The 22,892-nt window shown below is 44.1% G+C and overlaps 1 protein-coding gene, 1 long non-coding RNA gene and 1 pseudogene across 6 annotated transcripts in view, besides 2 other annotated features; 2 read left to right on the plus strand and 1 right to left on the minus strand.

The window, feature by feature from the left end:
* Positions 1 to 17,526, plus strand: part of EPS15-AS1 (EPS15 antisense RNA 1) — a 61,039-nt gene extending 43,513 nt beyond the window's left edge. Inside the window, exons 3-5 of the long non-coding RNA NR_183651.1 lie at positions 12,209 to 12,348; positions 15,975 to 16,054; positions 17,293 to 17,526. This is a non-coding gene — a long non-coding RNA (EPS15 antisense RNA 1). The remainder of the gene's footprint in view (positions 1 to 12,208; positions 12,349 to 15,974; positions 16,055 to 17,292) is intronic.
* OSBPL9 (oxysterol binding protein like 9) overlaps positions 1 to 22,892 on the plus strand; it is a 270,948-nt gene that overhangs the window by 43,513 nt on the left and 204,543 nt on the right. For all 4 annotated transcript variants that reach the window (NM_001416294.1, NM_001416293.1, NM_001416292.1 and 1 more), the window contains one exon: positions 12,209 to 12,348. The gene's annotated coding sequence lies outside the window, so the exon portion shown is untranslated. The remainder of the gene's footprint in view (positions 1 to 12,208; positions 12,349 to 22,892) is intronic.
* CALR4P (calreticulin 4, pseudogene) lies at positions 82 to 21,947 on the minus strand (annotated as a pseudogene). Its single transcript, NR_161259.1, has 9 exons — positions 21,666 to 21,947; positions 21,040 to 21,136; positions 12,170 to 12,271; positions 7,764 to 7,966; positions 5,968 to 6,059; positions 5,390 to 5,548; positions 4,522 to 4,757; positions 1,841 to 1,954; positions 82 to 249 (listed from the first exon to the last, which is right to left on the minus strand). The product of NR_161259.1 is annotated as a calreticulin 4, pseudogene (transcript).
* Positions 7,474 to 7,523: an enhancer, noted in NCBI's record as "active region_1025". NCBI's record gives its function as "activates an Ori minimal core promoter by ATAC-STARR-seq in GM12878 lymphoblastoid cells {active_cell/tissue: GM12878}" and the evidence as "EXISTENCE:reporter gene assay evidence [ECO:0000049][PMID:35858748]".
* Positions 7,684 to 7,843: an enhancer, noted in NCBI's record as "active region_1026". NCBI's record gives its function as "activates an Ori minimal core promoter by ATAC-STARR-seq in GM12878 lymphoblastoid cells {active_cell/tissue: GM12878}" and the evidence as "EXISTENCE:reporter gene assay evidence [ECO:0000049][PMID:35858748]".

Consider the following 22,892-nt stretch of genomic DNA (forward strand, 5'->3'; position numbering starts at 1 on the left):
AGACCAAGACTTATTCAAGTCTTGTGATTTCCAGCCTGAGGCTCTTTCTACTTTGTGAAAACTGAGAGACTGTGGCTCAGTGGCTCTGAGCTCAGAGGGCTTTACCTGCCAAAGGTCCAGGCTGAGAACACTAATGTTATAATAGTGACAAATGGTGGCGTCAGGCTTATATTTAGGGTTGTCTATTTTGGGATGAATCTACTCCCCCTGGTAATTGGGATTTTCAATGATCCAAGGTTTCCATTCTCCCTAAGCAAAGAACCAGTGAACAAGGCATTAGTATTTTGTCATTCTTCTGATCTCATGCAATCAGAAAGGCCAATTGATATGGTTTGGATCTGTGTCCCCACCCAAATCTCATGTCAAATTGTAATCCCCAGTGTTGGAGGTGAGGCCTGGTGGGAGGTGATTGGATCATGGGGGCAGAGTTCTCATAAATGGTTTAGCACGATCCCCCCTTGGTACTGCATAGTGAGTGAGTTATCATGATATCTGGTTACTTTTAAATTGTGTAGCACCTCCCCCCTTTCTCTCTTGCTCCTGCTCCCACCGTGTGAGAAACCCTGCCATCACTTTCCGCCATCACAGTGGACACCTGAGGCCTCCCCAGAAGCTGATGCTGCCATGCTTTCTGTATAGCTATAGCCTGCAGACCCATGAGCCAATTAAGCCTCTTTTCTTTATAAATTACCCAGTCTCAGGTATTTCTTTATAGCAATGCAAGAATGGACTAATACACCAATTGATTTATGAGGCAGTTGTGTATTAGACATAAGGATTCAGAGAAGGATTCCAGGAGCTTCTTTCCCTTTCTTTGAGTTAATGCACAAGATTCTTTCAAATTCCCCTTGCTACCCAGAGGAAGCCAAGCGAGGTGGCAGGGACCCATTCTGAGCTTGGCCCCATGTCTGCACCAGCTCATTCATGAAATAAAGAAAATGTAGCTTCTCAGAGAATATCATCTGAGTATCCTGGCAGTTGAGGCCGTTCTCTTCCTGGTGTGTAGTGTAGGAAACTGTGGCCAAATAAAATCATGCTTGCTTCAGTCAGTTTTACCTCTGGACAATTTGACACTGATTCCTTTCGTTCTTCTTGCTTCTAACATGAGGTCAGGAGTTAGCTCTTAAAAATAAGTGTCCCTTGGCTGGGTGCAGTGGTTCACTCCTGTAATCCTAGCACTTTGGGAGGCAAAGGCAGGCGGATCGCTTGAGGTCAGGAATTCAAAACCAGCCTGGCCAATAGAGTGAAACCGCGTCTCTACTGCAAATACAAAAAATTAGCCAGGCGTGGTGGCACGTGCCTGTAGTCCCAGCTACTCGGGAGGCTGAGGCATGAGAATCTCTTGAGCCCAGGAGGTGGAGGTTGCAGTAAGCCGAGATCACGTCACTGCACTGCAGCCTGGGTGACAGAGCAACGCTCTGTCTCAAAATAAATGAATAAATAAATAAAATAAAAAGTGTCCCTACCCCTTGCATTTTTGGCTCATTCATGGACACCCTTTCTCCTTCTGGCCTGTTTCTAAGACTTCCAGTTCCTGACCCCAAACCCATGTCCTATTTTGACCACATTCCTGTGACTGGCTGCTTTCCACCACTCTGGACAAACTCCAGGCCCAGGGCTGCCTGGCCCTATACCTGTCAAAGTTGGCCTTTACCAGCCCACCCCGTCCAACGTAGGCATAGCCCTGTGAGCAGGGCTCAGATGAGGGTACAGTCTTATTTGCGGGGTTTAGGGGAAGGGAAGATGACCACAGGATCTCAGAATTTCTGTTTCATCAATTAGCGTTGACATGTCTTTTGTCTCATTTCTCACACCCATTGGAAAGAGAGACCCCCCTCACCTTATACTTCGGATTTGGCATCAGAGGCCTTTCCCACTCCCCATCCATAGCCTCCTTCCAGTTATCTGGCTTCTTGGCTTCTGGATCCAGGATGTATTCAAAGTCTTCCCAGTACTAAAATGAAATGTTCCTTCATGAGGATAGATGCGTAGGCTGAGAAAAAACTGGGGTCCAGGCTGGGCGTGGTGGCTCACATCTATAATCCTAGCACTTTGGAGGCCAACGTGGGAGGACTGCTTGAGCCCAGGAGTTCAAGACCGGCCTGGGCAATATAGTGAGACCCCATCCCTACCCCAAAGAACTTTAAAAATTAGGCAAGTGTGGTGGCATGCACCTGGTGGGAGGATCTGAGCCCAGGAGGCAGAGGTCACAGTGAGCCATGATCATGCCATTGCACTCTAGCCTGGGTGACAGAGCGAGATCATCTCAAAAAAAAAAAAAAAAAAGAAAGCAAGAAAGAAAAGAGAAGAAAGGAAAAGAAAAGAAAAGAAAACGGGGGTCCAGAGTGCTGTCAGGCTGGACCTGGCTCCTTCCCTCTGCCCCCTCCCATCATCATCTATATGAAGGTCCAGCTCAGGACCTGTAAACAAATGCAGGGCAGAAAAGAAAGAGGCTTTAAGCACTTCCAATCCCTCCTCTGGGTTCACTATCATTTTGACCTTGAGTTCTTTAAGCTTAAGTAAGATGGGAATTTCCCTTGTCTCTGGCCACACCCTCCCCCACAATCATGGGCCCTTATTGTTATAATAGGTATTTTAGCCTAGGTCCCTCTTCTTGAAGGCCTCTTGGTGACCTGCTTTGTATCCCAGTATGCTCCCAGGCCTGTGTCAGTCCTTCCTTGTACCCCAGGACCCTCTGATTTCCTAAGACAGAGATCTACAAGATCAAAAACAGCCTACCCCAACTTTTATATTTCTATGCTGTGGAGCCTCCAAGGCTTTGCTCTGCCTGCCTGGCAGTTTGCTTTGGTTGTGACCATTTGTCCAGAATGACTGAAGGCTTCTATGCCAGCCCACCAAATTCACAGTCATTCAACACAATTGTGATTGGGAAAGTTCTCTGGTTCCTAGCCTGTTCTAGCCGTTTTATGATTCCTAAGACAGACAGCATCCTATCCTGGGGGCTATAGTTGTGACAGTGCCCTGTTGATTTAATCAGTTTCCATCTTCCCTTGTTCCACTCAACAGGGAGCATAGAGGCCTGCAGCCTCTCTACTCTCCCCAAGTCCTTGAGCCAAGCCAACCCTGACTACATCAGGTGCATGGTCCTCACCAGGAGGGGAGGGTCCATGTTTAGTCTTCCTACCCTAAGCCTGCCTTCTGGGCATGGCAGCAACCCAGCCCCTTATTTTTCCATGGTGCTGAAGGCCCAGACACTTTGCCTGATCATCTGCCTTAATTCCCTTACTACACCTCCCTCCACCAAGGATTGGGGCCCTTTGCTAAATCTCCCTACACGTGGCTAGGCAACTGCCCGTCTCTCTGCAGGCCTCTCTTTAGGGGCTGGACTCCAGTTACCTGGTCCCATGCTGACCCCTGCCTGACCTCAAGCATCTCTTCTGCATGACACTGACTCTGCTCTGACCTGCAGAGTAGCAATGTGGTGGGTGAGGCCCTTCCTGGCCTGGCTCCAACAGACCTTTCCAACCTTATCTCCTACCATGCCCCACCTTGAACCTTATGTTCCCCAAATACTGAACTACTGCTGTCAGTTTTTTACACACCATGTTATTTCCTAACTAACCACTGTGCCTTTGCTCCTGCTGTTCCCTGAGTCTGGAATGTCTTCCCTCCACCCCAGTTTCCCTCTTACTTTTCTCTAATAAATCTATTATTTGAAATTCAGCATATTATTAACATATAAAGGCCATACATTAAGGACTTCCTATATACCAGACACTACATTATGTATTTTTTATTAGCTCATTTAATCTTCACAGTAACCTTCACACGTAAGTATTAAAATAATACCTGTTTGTGAAGTTGACTTTCACAGCAGTTATATTCCTTGTGCAGAGTTAACTGCTAGTAGGATGGGGTCCCATAGTTAGAAAAAGGTGGTGCTCCAACCCATATCAGCCTGACCCCAGAGTTTATGTTTCCAACTCCTAGGTTAACTCACTCACTCAAGCATTTCCTTCTCTTTCTCAGACCACTGCCTACACCTCAACTCAGGCTGGGCTGGGATCCGCTTTTGGGCTCTCACTGGCTTGCCTCCCTGGCTCTCAGCACTGATCACATATTTTGATCTTTGTTTTCTTATCTGCCTCCCTTACTATATTCAGAATCCCTAGAGGGCAAGGGTTGTTCTATTCATAGCTATATCCAGTACAGCTTTCCAGAATAATAATAATGAGCCAATGAGTATACTCCACACATTCCCCATATTGATAACTTAAGAGTCAAAAAGATGTAGGTTCAAATCTTGGTTCTAACGCATGTATGCTTGGGCAAGTTACTTCATTTTCTAAGCATCAGTTTCCTTATCCACAAAAGAGGGATCATAACACATTGTTCACAGAGGCTGCTGGATCCCCAACAAAGGTGAGTGGCTGCCCTCTTCCCTCCATGCCTCTTTGGAAAACAATATCTAGCTGAACAACTCCTTGAGGGATTGATGTCCCCAGTCTCTGCTCCATCATTCCCAGCCTCCTTCTCCTATCTCCACAGCTGAGATCCCACCTGCTTCCCAGCCAAATGCCCTCTGATGTCAGGTTTCTTGTCTTCCAGATCCTCTATGTGCAGGCGTTCATCCCATTTCTTTGGTTTCTGGGCGTAGGGTCTTTTATTTTCCTGGGAGGCAAGAAGTCCCAGTCCTCCTCCAGAGCCCCAGCTGCCACCTGCTGGTTGTCAATTTTAACCTCATAAGTAGCATTGGGGCGAATAATCAGAGTGTACAGGTGAGGGTCTTTATTGATCTATAAAGGGAATGGGGAAATATTTCAGTTCCATTTTGAACATCTTTAGATCCCAAGCATTAAATGCACCAGACCCTCAGTTCCCTGAATGCCACCACCCACATAGTCACAAACAAACCTTACCACACTCTTTAACCCATTTTTCTGGTTAACCTTATATGGATTCTGGGCCTCTTCTCATAGTACACACTCCTCTGGTCTCCCTAGCCTTCATCCTTCCCTGCACTGCAGCTCTCATCATTCTCTGATCTTACCTGTCTTTCTGCCTGTCCCACTAGACTGTGAGCAGGTGTCATATATGATTTGTCTGTTGTGTCTGCAGCTTCCAGCATGAGGCCTGCCCCAGAGGAGGATCTCAGAGAGCTCCTGCATGGTACAGCCTTTACACAGTCTTGCTAAAGAAGGCCTTGGGTGTGAAACACTCATTCTCCAATGACTCCTGTGGGCTTTTCTAGGCTCGGTTCCTGCCTCTCTCCATGCTCCCACTTGCAGTGCTACTCTTTCTCAAGTCGCTGTGACTTTCCTTCTGTGATTATCTTTTCTAAGAATTCAATTCTCCCTAAAATTGTCTTATCACTTCACAAGATCAAGTCATGTTCATCTTCTGAAGTGCAGCTCAGGAGAACTCTTACCTAAGAAGTATTTCCTTAGCCTCCAGGTTGGGTAGGGGTCCTCTTCTGTGCTCCCACAGATGCCCAGCATACTAGGTAGTCACTTTGCTTGACTCTTACCTTCATTGACTGTGAGTTCTGTGAAGTCAAAGGCCATGTCTGGCCCACTCTGTCCCCAGCCTAAGGCCCAAAACAGAGTTAGTATTTGAATCCCTGTTGAGTTGCTGATGAAATCCACCTACTATCCTCTAGCCAACCTAGGTGTCTCTAACTTGATGTTACTATGATAAACTGACTACCCATCCCCATTTCTAAGTCCAACACTCCCTCCCTCCCCCATCCTCTCCCATGTCTAGCAGTGGGGAACTGGGCTATGCCAAGCATTGTTCCACAGGAGGACCTCATATAACTTCTTAGGCTTTTGGATCAACTGCTCCTTGATGAAATCCTGCAATTTACAGCATTTCTCTAGATCTACTTTTTAACCTGTAAAATGGAGATGACAGTATTTAATTTATAAGATTTTGTAAGAATTAAATGAGATAACACATATAAAATGCATCTCCTTCCCCCTTGGCTGAGGACCAGCACACACTCACCCTGCACTTGATGGTCTTGTTCTCATGGTATTTCTCTCAGTAATGAGGGATGACCTGTACTTTGTTGTTGCCAAAGCCACAAATGTCAGGGCCTGGAAATTAAACCCCAAAGCATAATTTCACATAGCTTTAAGGCAGTTTGCCTGGTCTAAGGCCAAGACCCAAGACAAACACAGCATGTGTATTAATCAGAGTCCCAGCAGGATATAGATGGCACAATCAAATTTGGGATTATTTGAGAAGGATTTAATAAAAGGACTATTTACAAAGGTTGGGGCAGGACATTGTGAAAACATAAAGTATAGTGCTATGCTCAGGGCTAGCAACAATGGGGTTCTACCCCTAGGCCTAAAGGGGCTAGAAGGAGTGCTTGCCAGAGCCTGGAAGAAAGAATCCTGTGGAAAAGACAGGCAAGAGAGAAGCTGACTTTCAGTTGAGGAACACAACTCTCTTTTCCATCTCTGATCTCCCAGGGCTCCCATTGACCAAACCCAACCAGAAACCCCTTCTGTGTCAGGCATTTTATACCATGTCATTTAATTCTTACAAGTAGGTGTTACTATCCCCCACTTTTAGCTGGGAAAATTGTGGCTCAGAACAGTTAAGCAGGTTGCTCAAAGACAAACAGCTAGTAAGTAGCATTGTTGGTATTCAAACCCAAGGCTACCTAGAAACAGAGCCTGGGGCCCTTTATGCTTTGTAAAAACTCTAGAGGGAACTCTAGAGATCATCAGTGTCTCTGAGCCCAGAAAGCCTTATCTGCCAACAGTTGGGAATAGATTTAACATAATTTTCTTTTCTTTTCTTTTTTTTGAGACGGAGTCTCAGAGTCTCACTCTGTCACCCAGGCTGTCGCCCAGGCTGGAGTGTAGTGGTGCAACCTCAGCTCACTGCAACCTCTGCTTCCCAGGTTCAAGCAATTCTGCTGCCTCAGCCTCCTGAGTACCTGGAATTACAGGCTCCCGCCACCACACCTGGCTAATTTTTCTTTTTCTCGAGACGGAGTCTTGCTCTATCAGCCAGGCTAGAGTGCAGTGGTGCAATCTCGGCTCACTACAACCTCCATCTCCCAGGTTCAAGCAATTATCCTGCCTGGTATTACAGGTGCTAGCCACCATGCCTGGCTAATGTTTGTATTTTCAGTAGAGATGGGGTTTCACCATGTTGGCCAGGATGCTCTCGAACTCCTGACCTCAAGTGATCTACCCGCCTCAGCCCCCCGCCACCCAGAGTGCTGGAATTACAGGGGTGAGCCACTGCACCCAGCCTTAACTTAATTTTCAACCTTACCTCCCATGTTACCACTCTCACTATCCAAAACACACACGTGCTTAAGTAAGATCTGGACTGCCCCAAGGAGGCCTAGTTACATATTTAGGTTACAGATACAACACTCTGGACACATTTCAGATGCTAAAAAAAGGTCACTTCCTTGACCTCCTGTGCCTTTCTCTCACTGAGGCAGAGTACAATGCCTTATTGTAGTGTACCTGTGAGAGGGTCTACGTAGCTGATGACCTCCTTCTCCTCTTCTGAGAACTGGAAAATGTCTCCCTGTGCTATAGATTTCTTAATATGGTACCATGTGCCTCCCCACCTCTGTGGTTTACTTATATTAACATTCAGGTTTAGAGTTGCTTTTTTCAGGTCTTTGAAGAGTCCTGCCACATGGAGGCGGGGTGGAGTTATCATATTAGACATTTTCTGTTCCAAGTGAATCTGAGCGTTTTCAACAACTACAGTGGCTGTCATTAGGACCTAATGGAGCTGACAGTGACTGCTATCAGAGAGCTTACCAAACATGATGTGATACTTGGATCCTGAGTGCATATCCTCCTGGTTCAGGGTGGCAGGAAAGAGTTTTACATATCCGCCACCACAATACTTCCTTTGCTTGTGTTTTACTGAAAACTGAAACACCAAGGTCTCATTCTCATTGCTGAATGCTTCAACCTGGTTGAGAAGGCATAAAACTTGGCATGTTCACTGGTTTGGAGACCTAGAAGCAGAAAGCACAGAGTCTTCAGGCTTAAATACCCAAAAAGCAGCCAGAGAGATCCAGCACTTGACCTCACCAATCTCTGGTATTTTCTTCCATACCTGTGCTGAAAGCTTTGCACACATACTTTTATTCAAGCCTCAGAGCAACCCTGCAAAATGAGTATTATCTCCACTTTACAATCAGGAGGCTGAGTCATAAGGAGGTGAGTCACCTGCCTAGGGCCACATAGCTAGCAAGGAGCCAAGCTGGAATTTTAAGCCACGTTTGTCTGATTCTTTCTGCATACCATGCTACCTCTGATTTTCAAGAGATACTTGAAGACTGTTCTACAACTTTACAAAACAAAGGCCTGTTTTTCCGAGGCTCCCCTGGGTGACCAGAATGAGGTTCTACCATACAAAAATGCTGTGGTAGAAAGAGCCCCTGCACTTTCTGGACATCTTTCTACCATAGCCTCGTAGATCAAATAGTAATCACTGCTAACATTCACTGAACACTTACTCGTTACCAATGTGTTTCATTCACATATATTACTACTGTACTTAATCTTCATAATAACCCCATGAAGTGGGTTCTCCTAATTTCTCTGCTTTATCATGAAGCCATTGAGGCTATTTCACTTGTGCAGGATCACTCAACCAGTTCATTTAATTCTAGAGCCCCCATCTTCAACTATAAGACTTTACTTCCTCCTCCAGAGAGTATCAGGGTAATAATAGATCTCAGAGCCTTTCTAGTCTAACCACATTACTTTATAGATGAGCAGACCAAGCCCCAGGGAGGAAAGGTTACTTACTCAAGATGACAGAGTCACAAATGAAATCATGCCATACAAGCAAAGTCTCCTGGCCTCCAGGCTAGTGGTCTTTCTATTATTCCATGCTGCTGCCCAGCTTACTGGTTAGGGCTCTGTTAACTCTCTGAGTCTCAGTTTCATATCAGCAAAACGTGGAGAATTATTCCTATCTCATAGGATTCCTGGTGAAGGTCAAGTGAGTAAGAGATCTGAGAAGTACTTTGTAAACTGTCAACATAAAATGTAAGGGGCTATCATTATTCGTACTTGGTGAGGTTCCTTTTTTTTTTGGAGACGGAGTCTTGCTCTGTCGCCAGGCTGGAGTGCAGTGGCATAATCTCGGCTCACTGCAACCTCCGCCTCCCAGGTTCAAATGATTCTCCTGCCTCAGCCTCCCAAGTGGCTGGGATTATAGGTTCCCGCCACCACGCCCGGCTAATTTTGTATTTTTAGTAGAGATGGGGTTTCAGCATGTTGGCCAGGCTGGTCTCGAACTCCTGACAGGCGTGAGTCACCACACCCGGCTGGGTCCTTCCTTATGATCCCACAGCTCTCTGTACTTTCCTGGGTCACACTATGTTGAAACTAGGTTTATTTCAGTCTCTTTGAATAATTTTTAGCTTCTGAAGAACAGGTGCATCTTTATATTCCCTGAATCTGGAACAGGACCTGACATAGAAGAAAGACTCAATAAGTATGTGTTAAATTACACAGAAGAATCACAGGTCCTGATTCAGACATCTCAAGAGCACTTATTGTACACCAGGCTCTGTGGTAAACACTTTCATGTCTGACATTATGTTAGGAGTTGTCTACATTTTAAATAATATGCTTGGCCTGGCATGGTGGTTCATGCCTCTAATCCCAGTACTTTAGTATGTCAGGGCAGGAGGACTGCTTGAGGCCAGGAGTTTAAGACCAGCATGGGCAACATAATGAGACCTTGTCTTTGCAAAAAAAATTAAAAATTAGTTGGGGATGGTGGTACATGCCTGTAGTCCCAGCTACTCCAGAGGCTGAGGTGGGAGAAGCATTTGGGCCCAGGAGTTTGAGGCTGCAGTGAGCTACGATCACACCATTGCACTCCAGCCTGGGTGACAGAGCAAGACCCTGTCTTAATCAAAACAAAACAAAATTGAACAAAGTATGCTTACTTCCCCAAAGACCCCAAGAACAGCTAGAGTAACCAGGGAAGACTTCACGGAGGAGGGCGTGTGCACAAGGCAAAGAGCACCGAACCTGCAGGCAAGACCAAGTTTTGAGTCTCTATTCTGCCAAACCCTACTTCGTAGCTCAATTCCACCTGCCTTCTCTCTGAGCCTCTTTTGTAACCCAGGACTCTTCTAAAGAACTAGGAGGAATCCAATGAACCTGAGTGGGATACAATGTGAGGGACAACAACCAAGAAACCACACTGAGAGGAGATGAGTGGCTGAGCAGACTACCCTCACTGGCATCACCAAGGCACAGCTTCCCGTGGGTCACACCGTCTCCAATTTCTCTCTACTCTGGAAATGGTTTTCCCTTTAATACCGTTTAATACTCTGGGAACAGTTTTCCAGAGTGGATTTAAAATTTAAGATTCTCAAGCCAGTTCATAATTCTCTCCTTTAATCAATATGAAAATGAGATTCATAACAGTAGCCAGGAGGAAGAAGATAGGAAATCACTTCAGGGAAAGATCAATGAATTCTACTTAGCGGACAAAAGCTTTCTCAGACAAAAAACCCAATCCTGCAGAACTTGTGCTCAGAGCTCACCCTTCCTCCACAATGTTATTTGGCTCTTAACAAAAGCCCTGTCTAATGAGCATGGCAGGCAATGGTTATTATCTCCATCTAGTATTGAAGCTCAGAGAAATAAGAATTGCCGAAATTATGCAGCTAGTAAGTCATGGGAGTTAGCCCTAGGTCTGTCTGCTCCTCTCTCCGTCACACTAAGCTCCTCTAGGGAAGAAGAACATTTGGATGTTATACAGTGTCTTCCCCTGTTTCAAGTGCAGCGTGCTATTTTTAAAATCCTAGGGGGTTGGGGAAAGCAGCATAGTCCAGCAGTAATGAATATAGTCCCTACAGTCAGATCCAGAATCAGATTCTACCTCTTGCCAGCTGTGTATATAGCCTTGGGCAAATAACCTCTCTGAGGCTCCTCTGAAAAACTGGGAAAGTAATAGTAATCACATATTAAAGTTGTTAGGAAGACTAACGGGGATTTGTGGAAGGGCTTAGTTTTGAACTCCTGTTATTCAATGAATGGACATATTATATTTGTGGAGAGTTCATTCTTTTCCATCTGCTAATTTTTTTAGTATATGTGCTGCCAAAGTGAGCACTCCATCTACTAATTTTTTATTTTAGGAAAGAGAAATGAATTGGGTGGGCCAGGCGCAGTGGCACTCACACCTGTAATCCCAGCAATGCGGGAGGCTGAGGTGAGCGGATCACCTGAGATGAGGAGTTTGAGACCAGTCTGACTAACATGGTGAAATCCTGTCTCTACTAAAAATACAAAAATTAGCTGGGTGTGATGGCACATGCCTGTAGTCCCAGCTACTTGGGAGGCTGAGGCCAGAGAATCGCTTGAACCAGGGAGGCAGAGGTTGCAGTGAGCCAAGATTGTGCCACTACACTCCAGCCTGGGTGACAGAGTGAGACTCCATCTCCAAAAAAAAAAAAAAGGTCGGGTGCAGTGGCTCACACCTATAATCCCAACACTTTGGGAGGCAGAGGCAGACAGATCACCTGAGGTTGGGAGTTTGAGATGAGCCTGACCAACATAGTGAAACTCTGTCTCTACTAAAAATACAAAATTAGCCGGGCATGGTAGTGCATGCCTGTAATCCCAGCTACTTGGGAGGCTGAGGCAGGAGAATCACTTGAACCTGGGAGGCCGAGGTTGTGGTGAGCCGAGATTGTACCATTGCACTTCAGCCTGGGAAACAAGCATGAAACTCCATCTCAAAAAAAAAAAAAAAAAAAAAAAAAGGCCAGGCACGGTGGTTCACACCTGTAATCCCAGCATTTTGGGAGGCTAAGGCGGGCAGATCACAAGGTCAAGAGATGGAGACCATCCTGGCCAACATGGTGAGACCCCGTCTCTACTAAAAATATAAACATTAGCTGAGCAGGGTGGCGTGAGCCTTTAGTCCCAACTCCTCAGGAGGCTGAGGCAGGAGAATCGCTTGAACCCGGGAGGCGGAGGTTGCAGTGAGCCGAGATTGCACCATTGCACTCCAGTCTGAGCGACAGAGTGAGACTCCATCTCAAAAAAAAAAAAAAAAGGAAATGAATTTGGTGACTGGGTGATATCACAGACAAAAACAGTTGTATAAAAGTCAGAATTTTCCCAATTAGTATATTAATATACAATAATTATATGTGCTAATACTGAGTTCCAGTATTTACCTTTATCTTTTTCTTTGTCTCCATAAAATTATCCTGCAGCGAGCTGAAATTTACCATAATCCGGCTGATGTTTAGACTGCACCCATCGTTTTTTCCATTCATCTATGAGTAAAGGAGAAAAAAAGAACGTAAAGACAAAATGCAGCTAATACTGACCAAGACTTACAGGAACGGTAAAGGTATGTCAAGGGATGACTCTGATATTCCTGAAATTCCTTTCATTGTCCAATTGTCTGAATCCCACTATTTGTGTATTATCATGTGGAGTGGCTTGAATACCAAGTAGTTGAGGCACTTCTACTTTAATATCCTACTTCACCCTCCTCCATGACAATTAAGAGCTGAAAATCACCATGGGAATGTATGGTTGAAAGGCATGAAACAGGCCGGGCGCGGTGGCTCATGCCTGTAATCCCAACACTTTAGGAGGCCAACGTGGGCAGATCACAAGGTCAGGAGTTCGAGACCAGCCTGGCCAATATGGTGAAACCCTGTCTCTACTAAAAATATAAAAAATTAGCCAGGCGCGGTGGCGGATGCCTGTAGTCCCAGCTACTCAGGAGGCTGAGGCAGAAGAATCGCTTGAACCCAGGAGGCAGAGGTTGCAGTGAGCCGAGAATGCACCATTGCACTCCAGCCTGTGCGACAGAGCGAGACTCTGTATCAAAAAAAAAATAATAATAAAGGAAATGAATTTGGTGGTTGGGTGATCATAGACAAAAACAAAAACAAAAGAAAGGCATGAAACATTTATTCTCATAAAAGTAGATGGAAAAATGTGCTTAGAGGGACTCATCCCTTACACATATTTATGTTTAGTAAAATAATAAAATCAGCTCACCAAGTAAAGAGATTAGCAACAACATTTTATACCTTCTTGAATTAGTAATGATGACAATGAGCAATCAATTTCCATTTACCCTGTTCTGTTTCTTAAACTTTTTAATCTCTTTCTTGTAGTTTCAAGGAGATGCTGATAAATTTGTTTTGCTTTGGCATGGATGGCATGTAGACAAAGAGGCATTCTTCTTGGGTCTTGGCACTCCAACCAAATGTTCAGTGCCTTTCTGATTTTATGCTTCAGAGTTGCTGACTCCCATTTCCTGGGCCCACTATGGGTCCCAGAGTCACAGGGCAATTTGGCAGCTTGAGCTGGAAGAGGCCTTCAGGGTAAACTTTATTTGATCTTCTCCTTGTAGTTCAATGGATAGTTCTCTACTCCCACTCCCCAATATCTAGGTTTTGTTTGTTTGTTTCATTTTTTTGAGACGGAGTCTTGCTCTGTCTCCCAGGCTGGAGTGCAGTGGCCTGATCTCGGCTCACTGCAACCTCAGCCTCCTAGGTTCAAGGGATTCTCCTGCCTTAGACTCCTGAGTAGCTGGGATTACAGGTGCCCGCCACCTCACCCGGCTAATTTTTTTTTTTTTTTGTATTTTTAGTAGAGATGCGGTTTCACCATGTTGGTCGGTCTGGTTTCGAATTCCTGACCTCAAGTGATCCGCCTGCCTCGGCCTCCCAAAGTGCTAGGATTACAGGCGTGAGCCACCGTGCCCAGCCCCCAATACCTAGGTTTATTACCTTATCTCTACCTATGAATATCCCACATCAACACACATCCAGTAAGACCACCCTGAGCTGGCTCTGTCAGCTCCTATTACTCACGTCTGATGACTCAACTGTTTCCCCTTATGAGACCCAGGGGACTTGAGCTTGCTTTTGAAAGAGTTAAGAACATGGCACTCCAAAATATGCTGCTCTTCCATATCGACTATTTTGAATTAAAGGCACTTATAAAACAGCAAGTGCAAGAAGATCACTCTGACCTTCATTCTGTTTCTGAAAAGCAGGGGATAAAATCCCCACATGAAAGATGTCTTCCCTATACCAAAAGGAAAGTAACATTTTTATTATCAAAGACAGGAAGTTGAAGCCAAAGGAAATCTATATAAACAAACTTTGTTAAACTAACCCTTATCTCCCTCATCACTTCTCTACCTAATTATCCTGGCCCAAGCCCCTTTCCCTTACCACATTTCACAACTTACTATTCTTTGCCCATTCACCACATAAGTAATTGACTCTAACTGCTTCTATAGGTCTTCATTTCCTTAGGAGGGCTCCCATGTCACATAAAACTTACATTAAATACATTTCTATGCTTTTCTCCTGTTAATCTGTCTGATGTCAATTTAATTTTCAGGCCCAGCTGAAAAAATTCTAAAAGGGAAGAGGTTTTACCTCCTCAACACTTTCTGTGGTCTCCCCGTCTCTTTCAAGGTCATGGTAATTAGACAGGTCTTGGTGACCACCTCTGTCACTCCCTCCTGAGGGAGGGGCCTCAGAGCTTCTTTGTGCCTTAACTTGCTGTGGCTTGAATGAAGTGGATCCTGCTTCTCTGACCATCATCGACCCAGTGAAGGATAAGGGTAGATGCCAAGGCAAAAAGATGTGTTATGTATTAGGCCCTCATGGGGCTCCCTAAAAACTTCACCTTATTCATGCTCATGGACAATGCTGTGAGATAGGTTTTTTGTTGGTTGTTTTTGCTTTCTGTTTTTAGGGTTTTTTTGGGTTTTTTTGTTTGTTTGTTTTGGGACAGGGTCTTGCTCTGTCGCCCAGGTTGCAGTGCAGTGGCATGATCATGGCTCACTGCAGCCTCAATCTCCTGGGCTCAAGCAATCCTCCCAACTCAGCCTCCTAAGCAGCTGGGACCACAAGCATGCCACTACACCTGGCTAATTTTTTGATTCTTTGTTGAAATTAGGATCTCACTATGTTAGCCAGGCTGGTCTCAAACTCCTGGGCTCAAGCGATCCTACTTCCTTGGCCTCCCAAAGTATTGGGATTACAGGCATAAGCCACCAGGCCTGGTTAGATAGGCATTTTTAAATTCCATTTTGCATCTTGTAAGTGGTAGACCTGAGATTTGAACCCAAATCTGATTTCAAAACTGTCTGATATAGTTTGAATGTATGTCCCCACCAAACCTCATGTTGAATTGTAATTTCCAATGTTGGAGGTGGGGCATGGTGGGAGGTGTTTGGATCGTGGGGAGAATCCTTCATGAATAGCTTGGGGTATCCTCTTGGTGATCAGTGAGCTCTTGCTCTGAGTTTGCTCTGAGATCTGGTGGTTTAAAAGTGTGTGGCACCTCCCCTTCCTACTCTCTCTGTCTCCTTCCTGTTTTCACCATGTGACGTACCTGCTCCCTCTTCACTTTCCGCCATGATTATAAGCTTCCTGAGGCCTCCCTAGAAGCTGAGCAGATGGCAGAACCATGCTTCCTGTAAATCCTGCAGAATCGTGAGCCAATTAAGCCTCGTTTCTTTATAAATTACCCCGTCTCAGGCATTTCTCTTTTTCTTTTCTTTTTTTTTTTTTTTTTTTTGACGAAGTCTTGCTCTGGCCCAGGCTGGAATGCAGTGGCATGATCTCGGCTCACTGCAACCAACGCCTCTGGTTCAAGCGTGCCACCACGCCCGGCTAATTCTTTGTATTTTTAGTAGAGACAGGGTTTCATCGTGTTAGCCAGGATGGTCTCCGTCTCCTGACCTCGTGATCCACCCACCTAGGCCTCCCAAAGTGCTGGGATTACAGGCGTGAGCCACCACTCCCGGCCCTAGTCTCAGGCATTTCTTTATAGCAATGCAAGAATGGCGTAATACATTGTCTTTTCTCTGAAAGAAGAAAGAAAAAGTGCTATGTAGAAAAAATGTGTGTAATAACCATAGCTACTGTTTAGAACTGTATGTCAGGCATTGTGCTGAGTACTTTCATGCATCATCTCATTGCATTCTCTTAACAGCCCTGTGATGAATGTCCTGTTTTTTCCTCATTCAAAAGATAGAGAAACAGAAGCTCAGAATCTTGCCCAAAAGCCCAGTTGTAAGTAAGTGGGTAAGCCAGGCTCAGACCCGGTTCTAGGTAACACCAAAATCTGTACTTTTAACTTCTTTATATGACTTCCCATGAAATCACGTGTGAGAAAAGCCCTTTATAACCCGAAAAGTGTGCCACAAATTTAAGAGTCAATCATAGCACTTCACGGTCTGTAATTAATAGTTTGTGTATAATTTGAGTAATGTCTGTCTTCCCTACCAGACTAGTAAAATCTATAACTATTCTGCTGACCGTTGTGTGCCAGTATTTAGCACAGAGTAATAACGAAAAATATTTGTGAATAACTGAATGGATGCATGATCATGTCTTTTGCCTAAGCCATAAGATTCTTAGCCTTACTAATGGATTGACTCTTTTATTCTCCATTTGACAAATGTTAATTGATTCTAAAAAGCTTGTAGAAATAGTTGTATAACTTTGGCCTTGAACTTTATGGTAGAAGAGGTTAGAATAGAACTCAAAACTTCTCAGTGCTAATTATTTTTCTGGGTGAACAGTATCAATACAAATGAAACCTGACACAATTTAGGGTGTCTCAAAACAAGGAGGCTCTCTTTTTGTTAGGAGAATAATATCATATGATTAATGAAGTCCCTTTAACTTTTCACATTTTTTCTCTTAACATCATAACATCATGAAAGGCTCAAGCCAGAATGACCCTTTAGTGGTCATTTAATCTGACTTCCTCATATTAGAGGTAGGGAAACTGAAACCCAGAGAAGGAAGTGACTTGCCCATGCACACAGACTTGTCAGTTACAGATCTGAGACTAGAACCCAGTTCTTCTGCACCCTTGTTTTGGGCTCATTAATTCCTTTCTTCAAGAAACGCTTATTGAGCATCACTCTGTGCCAGGTATCAGGTGCACAGAAATGAGAATCTGACAAAGTCCTTTCAGGGACCTGTGAGCTTTAGGGAGTTCATAATCTGGTGAAAGAGACGGATAAGTAAACAAACAGTAAACAAGTAAACAGACAAGTCAAACAACAGTGTGGTAAGGGTAGTGATAGAAAGCACAGGGCAATAAAATTCAGAAAAACACTGACTGCTCCTCAGGGTCAAGGCAGACTTCAGAGAAGGCATGCCTGAATGTCACATGAACTTATCTCTGTATCTGTACTTCCCAGAGTGTCTGGCTTGTGATGTAGCTCAAATCAAAAGACCTGGCTAGGGACTCGTTTCTGCCACCACCTTCAGCAGAATTTTTTTTTTTTTTTTTTTAGATGGATTCTCACTCTGTTGCCCAGGCTGGAGTGCAGTGGTCCAATTTCAGCTCACTGCAGCCTCTTCAGCAGAATCTTGACCCTCTCTGAGATTCAGTTTTTTCATCTGTAGAAATGGGGACCTAAGGTACAGAGTTTCTTCTGGGAGAATTAAGTGAAACTGCATGCAACACCATGTTAGGCACACTAGAAGTGATCAATAAATACTACTTGAGTATTTGTGTGCATATGTAATCTGTGCGTATGTGTATATGTATACAAAGATATACATAGGTAAAGAGATGTAAATATTTTTAGATTTGAAGGTAAAAGTTGTGCTTTCTGGGCACCTAGTCCTTAGCCTCAGACAGATTAGATCCATTAGAAATGCTTATTTAGATAAAAATATGTATTTGCTGCCTTTATTCCACATAATCAGATTGTATTCTTCAAAAGAGAATTTGCTAGATACGTTAAAGCTTATCTCTTCAGGTGCCAACATGTTGTCTACATTTTCAATGAGAAATTTTTCTAGACATAATAAAAGACCCTGACCTCTAATATATAGAATCCTAAACAAAATTTGTACTTTCCCAGAAGTTTGAGACCAGCCTGGGCAATATGGCAAAACCTCGTCTCTACAAAAAATAGAAAAATTAGCCAGGCATGGTGGTGCATGCCTGTAGTCCCAGCTACCTTGAGGTGGGAGGGTCACCTGAGCCCAGAGAGGTCAAGGCTGCAGTGAGCCATGATTGTGCCACTGCACTCCAGCCTGGGCGACAGAGTGAGACTCTGTCTCAAAATAATAATAATAATAATAATAATAATAATAATTTAAACGTTCTTGAAGACTCAAGGCCTGTTTTAGGCTGTAATGTACAGCAGAGGTTTGGGTCTGGTTTTGTAGTGTTTCTGTCTCCACCGTCCTTGTTCTGCTGTGAGCACTCACTTCTCTCTGAGATCCATGTTTGCCTCTAGCAATCCAACTGATTCTCATGAGACCAGTAGACCTACATCCCTGCTTACCTGACTGCCAATTTACCTGCCTACTGCCTTTTCTTTCTTTCTGCCTGCCAGTCTACCTGTATGTCTGCCACACAGACCATAATAATTCAAATATTTATCAACTGTTAAAAAGCCTTGTGGGGTGGTGAACAGCATGAGATAAGAATCTCAGCCTTTCCACCGATTTCTGTATATAACCTGAGTGAATCACTTTTCTGAATCTGTGTTCTCATTTATAAATAAGGATTATATTTAAACTCTTTAAAGAAAGGAATTCTGTGCAGATAGTAGGTGCTCAATAAATGTTTGTGGAATAACAGATTGGCATGAGGGCCAAATTAATTAAGACAATAATGTAACTATTGCTGCTGTCATTGAATGAGAGCCTTTAGCAGGTCCTCTATTTATCTTGGAGGCTGTCATTTCTAATCAGCTATACCCTAGAAAGCAGGCCAAATTTGCTAAAAAAGTGTGCCTTAAATAAGAGACTCTATGCTCAAAGCAGAAAAGAATATAGGCTTTTCACTTAAATATTTACAGAGAACCTATGCTGTGCCAGTCTGAGTGCTAGATGCCAGGGTGCTAAAGTGAGCAAGACAATTCCTCAAGCCCTTAAGTCTTCAAGGAATTCACAATCTAATGGGAGAGGCAGGCAAATAAATTATCTGCTTTTCTTATTTTATATTTCTTCATTTTTCAACGTAAAATAATTTATTGTAGAAAATCTGGAAAGCCTAAAAGAAGCAAATAGGCAGTAAAAACATCCATGATACCTACCGCTCAGAGATGACCATTGTTAACATTTTGATATACTGTATTTCCTTCTAGCCATTATATATATATATATATATATATATATATATATATATATATATATATATATATATATATATAACTTTTTTGAAACAGAGTCTTGCTCTGTTGCCCAGGCTGGAGTGCAGTGGCATGACCTTTACTCACTGCAACCTTGTCTGTCAGGTTCAGGTGATCCTCCTACCTCAGGCACGTGCCACCATACTGGCTAATTTTTGTATTTTTTTTTTTTATAGAGATGGGGTTTCACCATGTTGCCCAGGTTGGCCTCAAACTCCTGGGCTTGAGCAATCTGCCTGCCTTGGCCTCCCAAACTGCTGGGATTACAAGGTGAGCCACTGCTCCTGGCCAGAATGTCTTTCTACTGGAATTGGTCTGATGTTTTTCTCTTGGTTAGATAGAGGTTATAGGTTTTGGGGAAGAAGACCACAGAGGTAAACGGCCATTCTCATCCCATCATATTAATGGTGCATGCCATTAACATGACTTATCACTGATGGTGTTAACACCAATCACCTGACTGAGGCGGTATGTATCAGGTTTCTCCATTGCAAAGTTACTCTTTTTTCCCCCTTCTTTCCATACTGCACTCTTTAAAAGAAAGTCAATATGTACAGTCCACACTTAAGCAGTGGGGAGATATGCTCCACCTCTTTGAGGGCAGAGTATTTACATAAATTATTTGGAATTCTTCTGTACAGGAGATTTGTCTATTTGTCCCTGTTTATTTACTCAGTCATTTCTTTATACCCGTATGGACTCATGGATATTTATTTTATACCTTATTATTATTTTTTTTAGAGATAGGGTCTCACCCTGTCACCCAGGCTGGAGTGCAGTGGCACAATCATAGTTCAGTATAGCCTTGAACTCCTAGGCTCAAGGGATCCTCCCACCTCAGCTTCCTGAGTAGCTGGGCATGTGCCACCACAACTGGCTTTTTGTTGCTCAAATGTCGTTAGCCATTGGGAGCTCTTTCAGTTGTCTCCTATGTCCCTTTGACACACCCCCATCATTGTGATTTTTGAACACTTCCTTACTTTCTAGAACTATACGACGCTCAAGGCTCATCTTGTATGTTCTCTTCTTCAGCCCTAGATCAGCCATTTCTCTAAGGAGGCCTAGTTCCTTTTATTGGACAATGGTATTATAAACCATGATATGGGCTCTGGTGTCATTTACTTTTTAAAAGTAAATGTTTTAATTGGAGTATAACATTTATTCAGATTTATTCAGATAACATTTATTCAAACCATAAGTGTATAGTTTAACGAAATTTTAAGAAGAGAAATTTAAGGCAAATTTTCCAGGTACCTGGAATTATAATTGTTAACTGATGTATTAATTCCAAAGTCTCACTGCATCCAACTCATGCATCCCCTTCCATACCTTCAAAACAAAATTACCAAAAGGAAGTGGTCACATCTGACAAGAGAAGAAGGAGCAGCTTCAACAGTCTTTTATTTTCTTTTGAGACAAAGTCTCGCTCTGTTACCCAGGCTGGAGTGCAGTGGTGTGATCCTGGCTAACTGCAACCTCCACCTCCTGGGTTCAAGCAATTCTCCTGCCTCAGCCTCCCGATTAGCTGGGATTACAGGCACGCACCACCATGCATGGCTAATTTTTTTGTATTTTTAGTAGAGACGGGGTTTCACCATGTTGGCCAGGCTGGTTTCAAACTCCTGACCTCAAGTGATCCACTCACTTCGGCCTCCCAAAGTGCTAGGATTACAGGTGTGAGCAACCACACCTGGCCAACAGTCTTTTCAATAGATTTCCTTCCTGCCTCCCTCCTTCTCTACACTCACTTGTTTATTAAGGGTTTATTATGTGTCAGGCAGTGAACAAAATCAATCCCTTCCTGCATGGAATTTATATCCCAATTGGCAGGTAAGATGACAAACTTTAAAGAAAATAACATATCAAAGGGCCGGGTGCAGTGGCTCATACCTGTAATCCTAGCACTTTGGGAGGCTGAGGCGGGCAGGCAGATCACTTGAGCTCAGGAGTTCGAGACAAGCCCAGGCAACATGGTGAAATTCCATCTCTACAAGAAATACAAAAGTAGTAGCCAGGTGTGGTGGCAGGTGCTGTAGTCCCAGCTACTTTGGGGACTGGGGTGGGAGGATCGTTTGAGCCCAGGAGGTTGAGGCTGCAGTGAGCTGAGATCGCACCACTGCACTCCAGCCTGGGTGACAAAGTGAGACTCTGTTTCAAAAAAAGAAAAAAATATATAAATATATAATATAATATCAGGCAATAATAATTATGTGGGGAAAATTAAACGTAGTAGGGTGTTATTTAACATATGGTGGCTAGCCTCTATGCCGAGATAAGATTTGAATAGAGATTGACAAGGACAGGGAGTCAGCCACATCCCAGGTGAGCTACACAGGTAGAATGCCATGGAGAAGAGTGTAGGAAAGGGAGCTAGCGCTTACTGAGTCCTTACTATGTACCAGACACTGTGCAAAATGGCTTCCATACTTCACCTTACTCAGTCCTCACAGTGCTCAACAACGAAGTTAGAATAATCACTTCCATTTTATGGAAACTTGGATAAGTTAGTAAATTACCCAAGGTCACCCACTGAGCAAGTGGCAGAATCAGGACTTGAAGTATCATCTGTGTGCTCCAAGACTTCACTCTCGCCTCCACATCCCTGTGGTGTCCAGAGAGATCCGTGCCATCGGTTTGTACTTGAGACCTGGAAAGGCCAGCTGGATCAGGCCTATTCGGTTCGGGCATCAGTCCAGGGTGATTCTTCCCCAGGCTCAGCATGTCCAAGTATCCATGATTCACAGACAGTCTCAATCACTTATCAGTCGGGGGCCTGAGCAGCAGAGTGTTCCTCAGCCCTGCTGAGCTGTCCTCGGTGGGTCTGAGCCAGCTGCGAACAGAGGCCCTTTGTCTCAGAACGTCTCTTTGGCCAAGTTTTCATATTCAAGTCTGAGTGTTGACAGAATTAACATTCACACACACACACACAAGCACACACACCCCTTGTGACTCCTACATCATTCAGTCCCTCGTTTGAATTCCAGTTTCTGCCTGATTTTGGACTTTTTCAACAGTCACTGCTGTCACCATTAGCCCTCCCCCATACCTGAACTAATGATCCCACAATTCAATCTACCAACATTTATTTATTTATTTACTTTTTTTAGAGACAGGGTCTTGCTATATCACTCAGGCTGGTCTTGAACTCCTAGACTTCAGTGATCCTCCCGCCTTAGCCCCGCAAGTAGATGGGATTACAGGTGCAAGCCACTGTGCCCGGTTTCTGCATATTTTAATATGCCAGTCCCTATGCAAGGTCTGGGATTCCAAAACGTCATGTTGTCCTTGAGGCCGCTGATATTATCATCTGCTGGCCACCTGACACTTGGCAGCTTGTAGCAGTGGCTAGAGAATCTTTTATGAAGGATGAGACCTGGATTCAACAAAATTTCTGCACAAACTCACCATGTGACTTTAGGAAAACCATCTTTTCTCTCTGGGTCTCATTTTCCCCATCTGTACAATGAAAGGGTTGGATTCTAAAGGCCTTGCATGGCCAGGTGCGGTGGCTCATGCTGTAATCCCAACACTTTGGGAGGCCAAGCTGAGGCAGGTGGATCGCCTGAGGTCAGGAGTTTGAGACCAGCATTGACCAACATGGTGAAACACCATCTCTACTAAAAATACAAAAAATTAGCCAGGTGTTGTGGTGGGTGCCTGTAATCCCAGCTACTCAGGAGGCTGAAGCAGGAGAATCGCTTGAACCTGTGAGGCAGAGGTTGCAGTGAGCCGAGATCGCGCCA

Source organism: Homo sapiens, chromosome 1 (genome assembly GCF_000001405.40).
Source record: "Homo sapiens chromosome 1, GRCh38.p14 Primary Assembly".
Taxonomy (NCBI): Eukaryota; Metazoa; Chordata; class Mammalia; order Primates; family Hominidae; genus Homo; species Homo sapiens.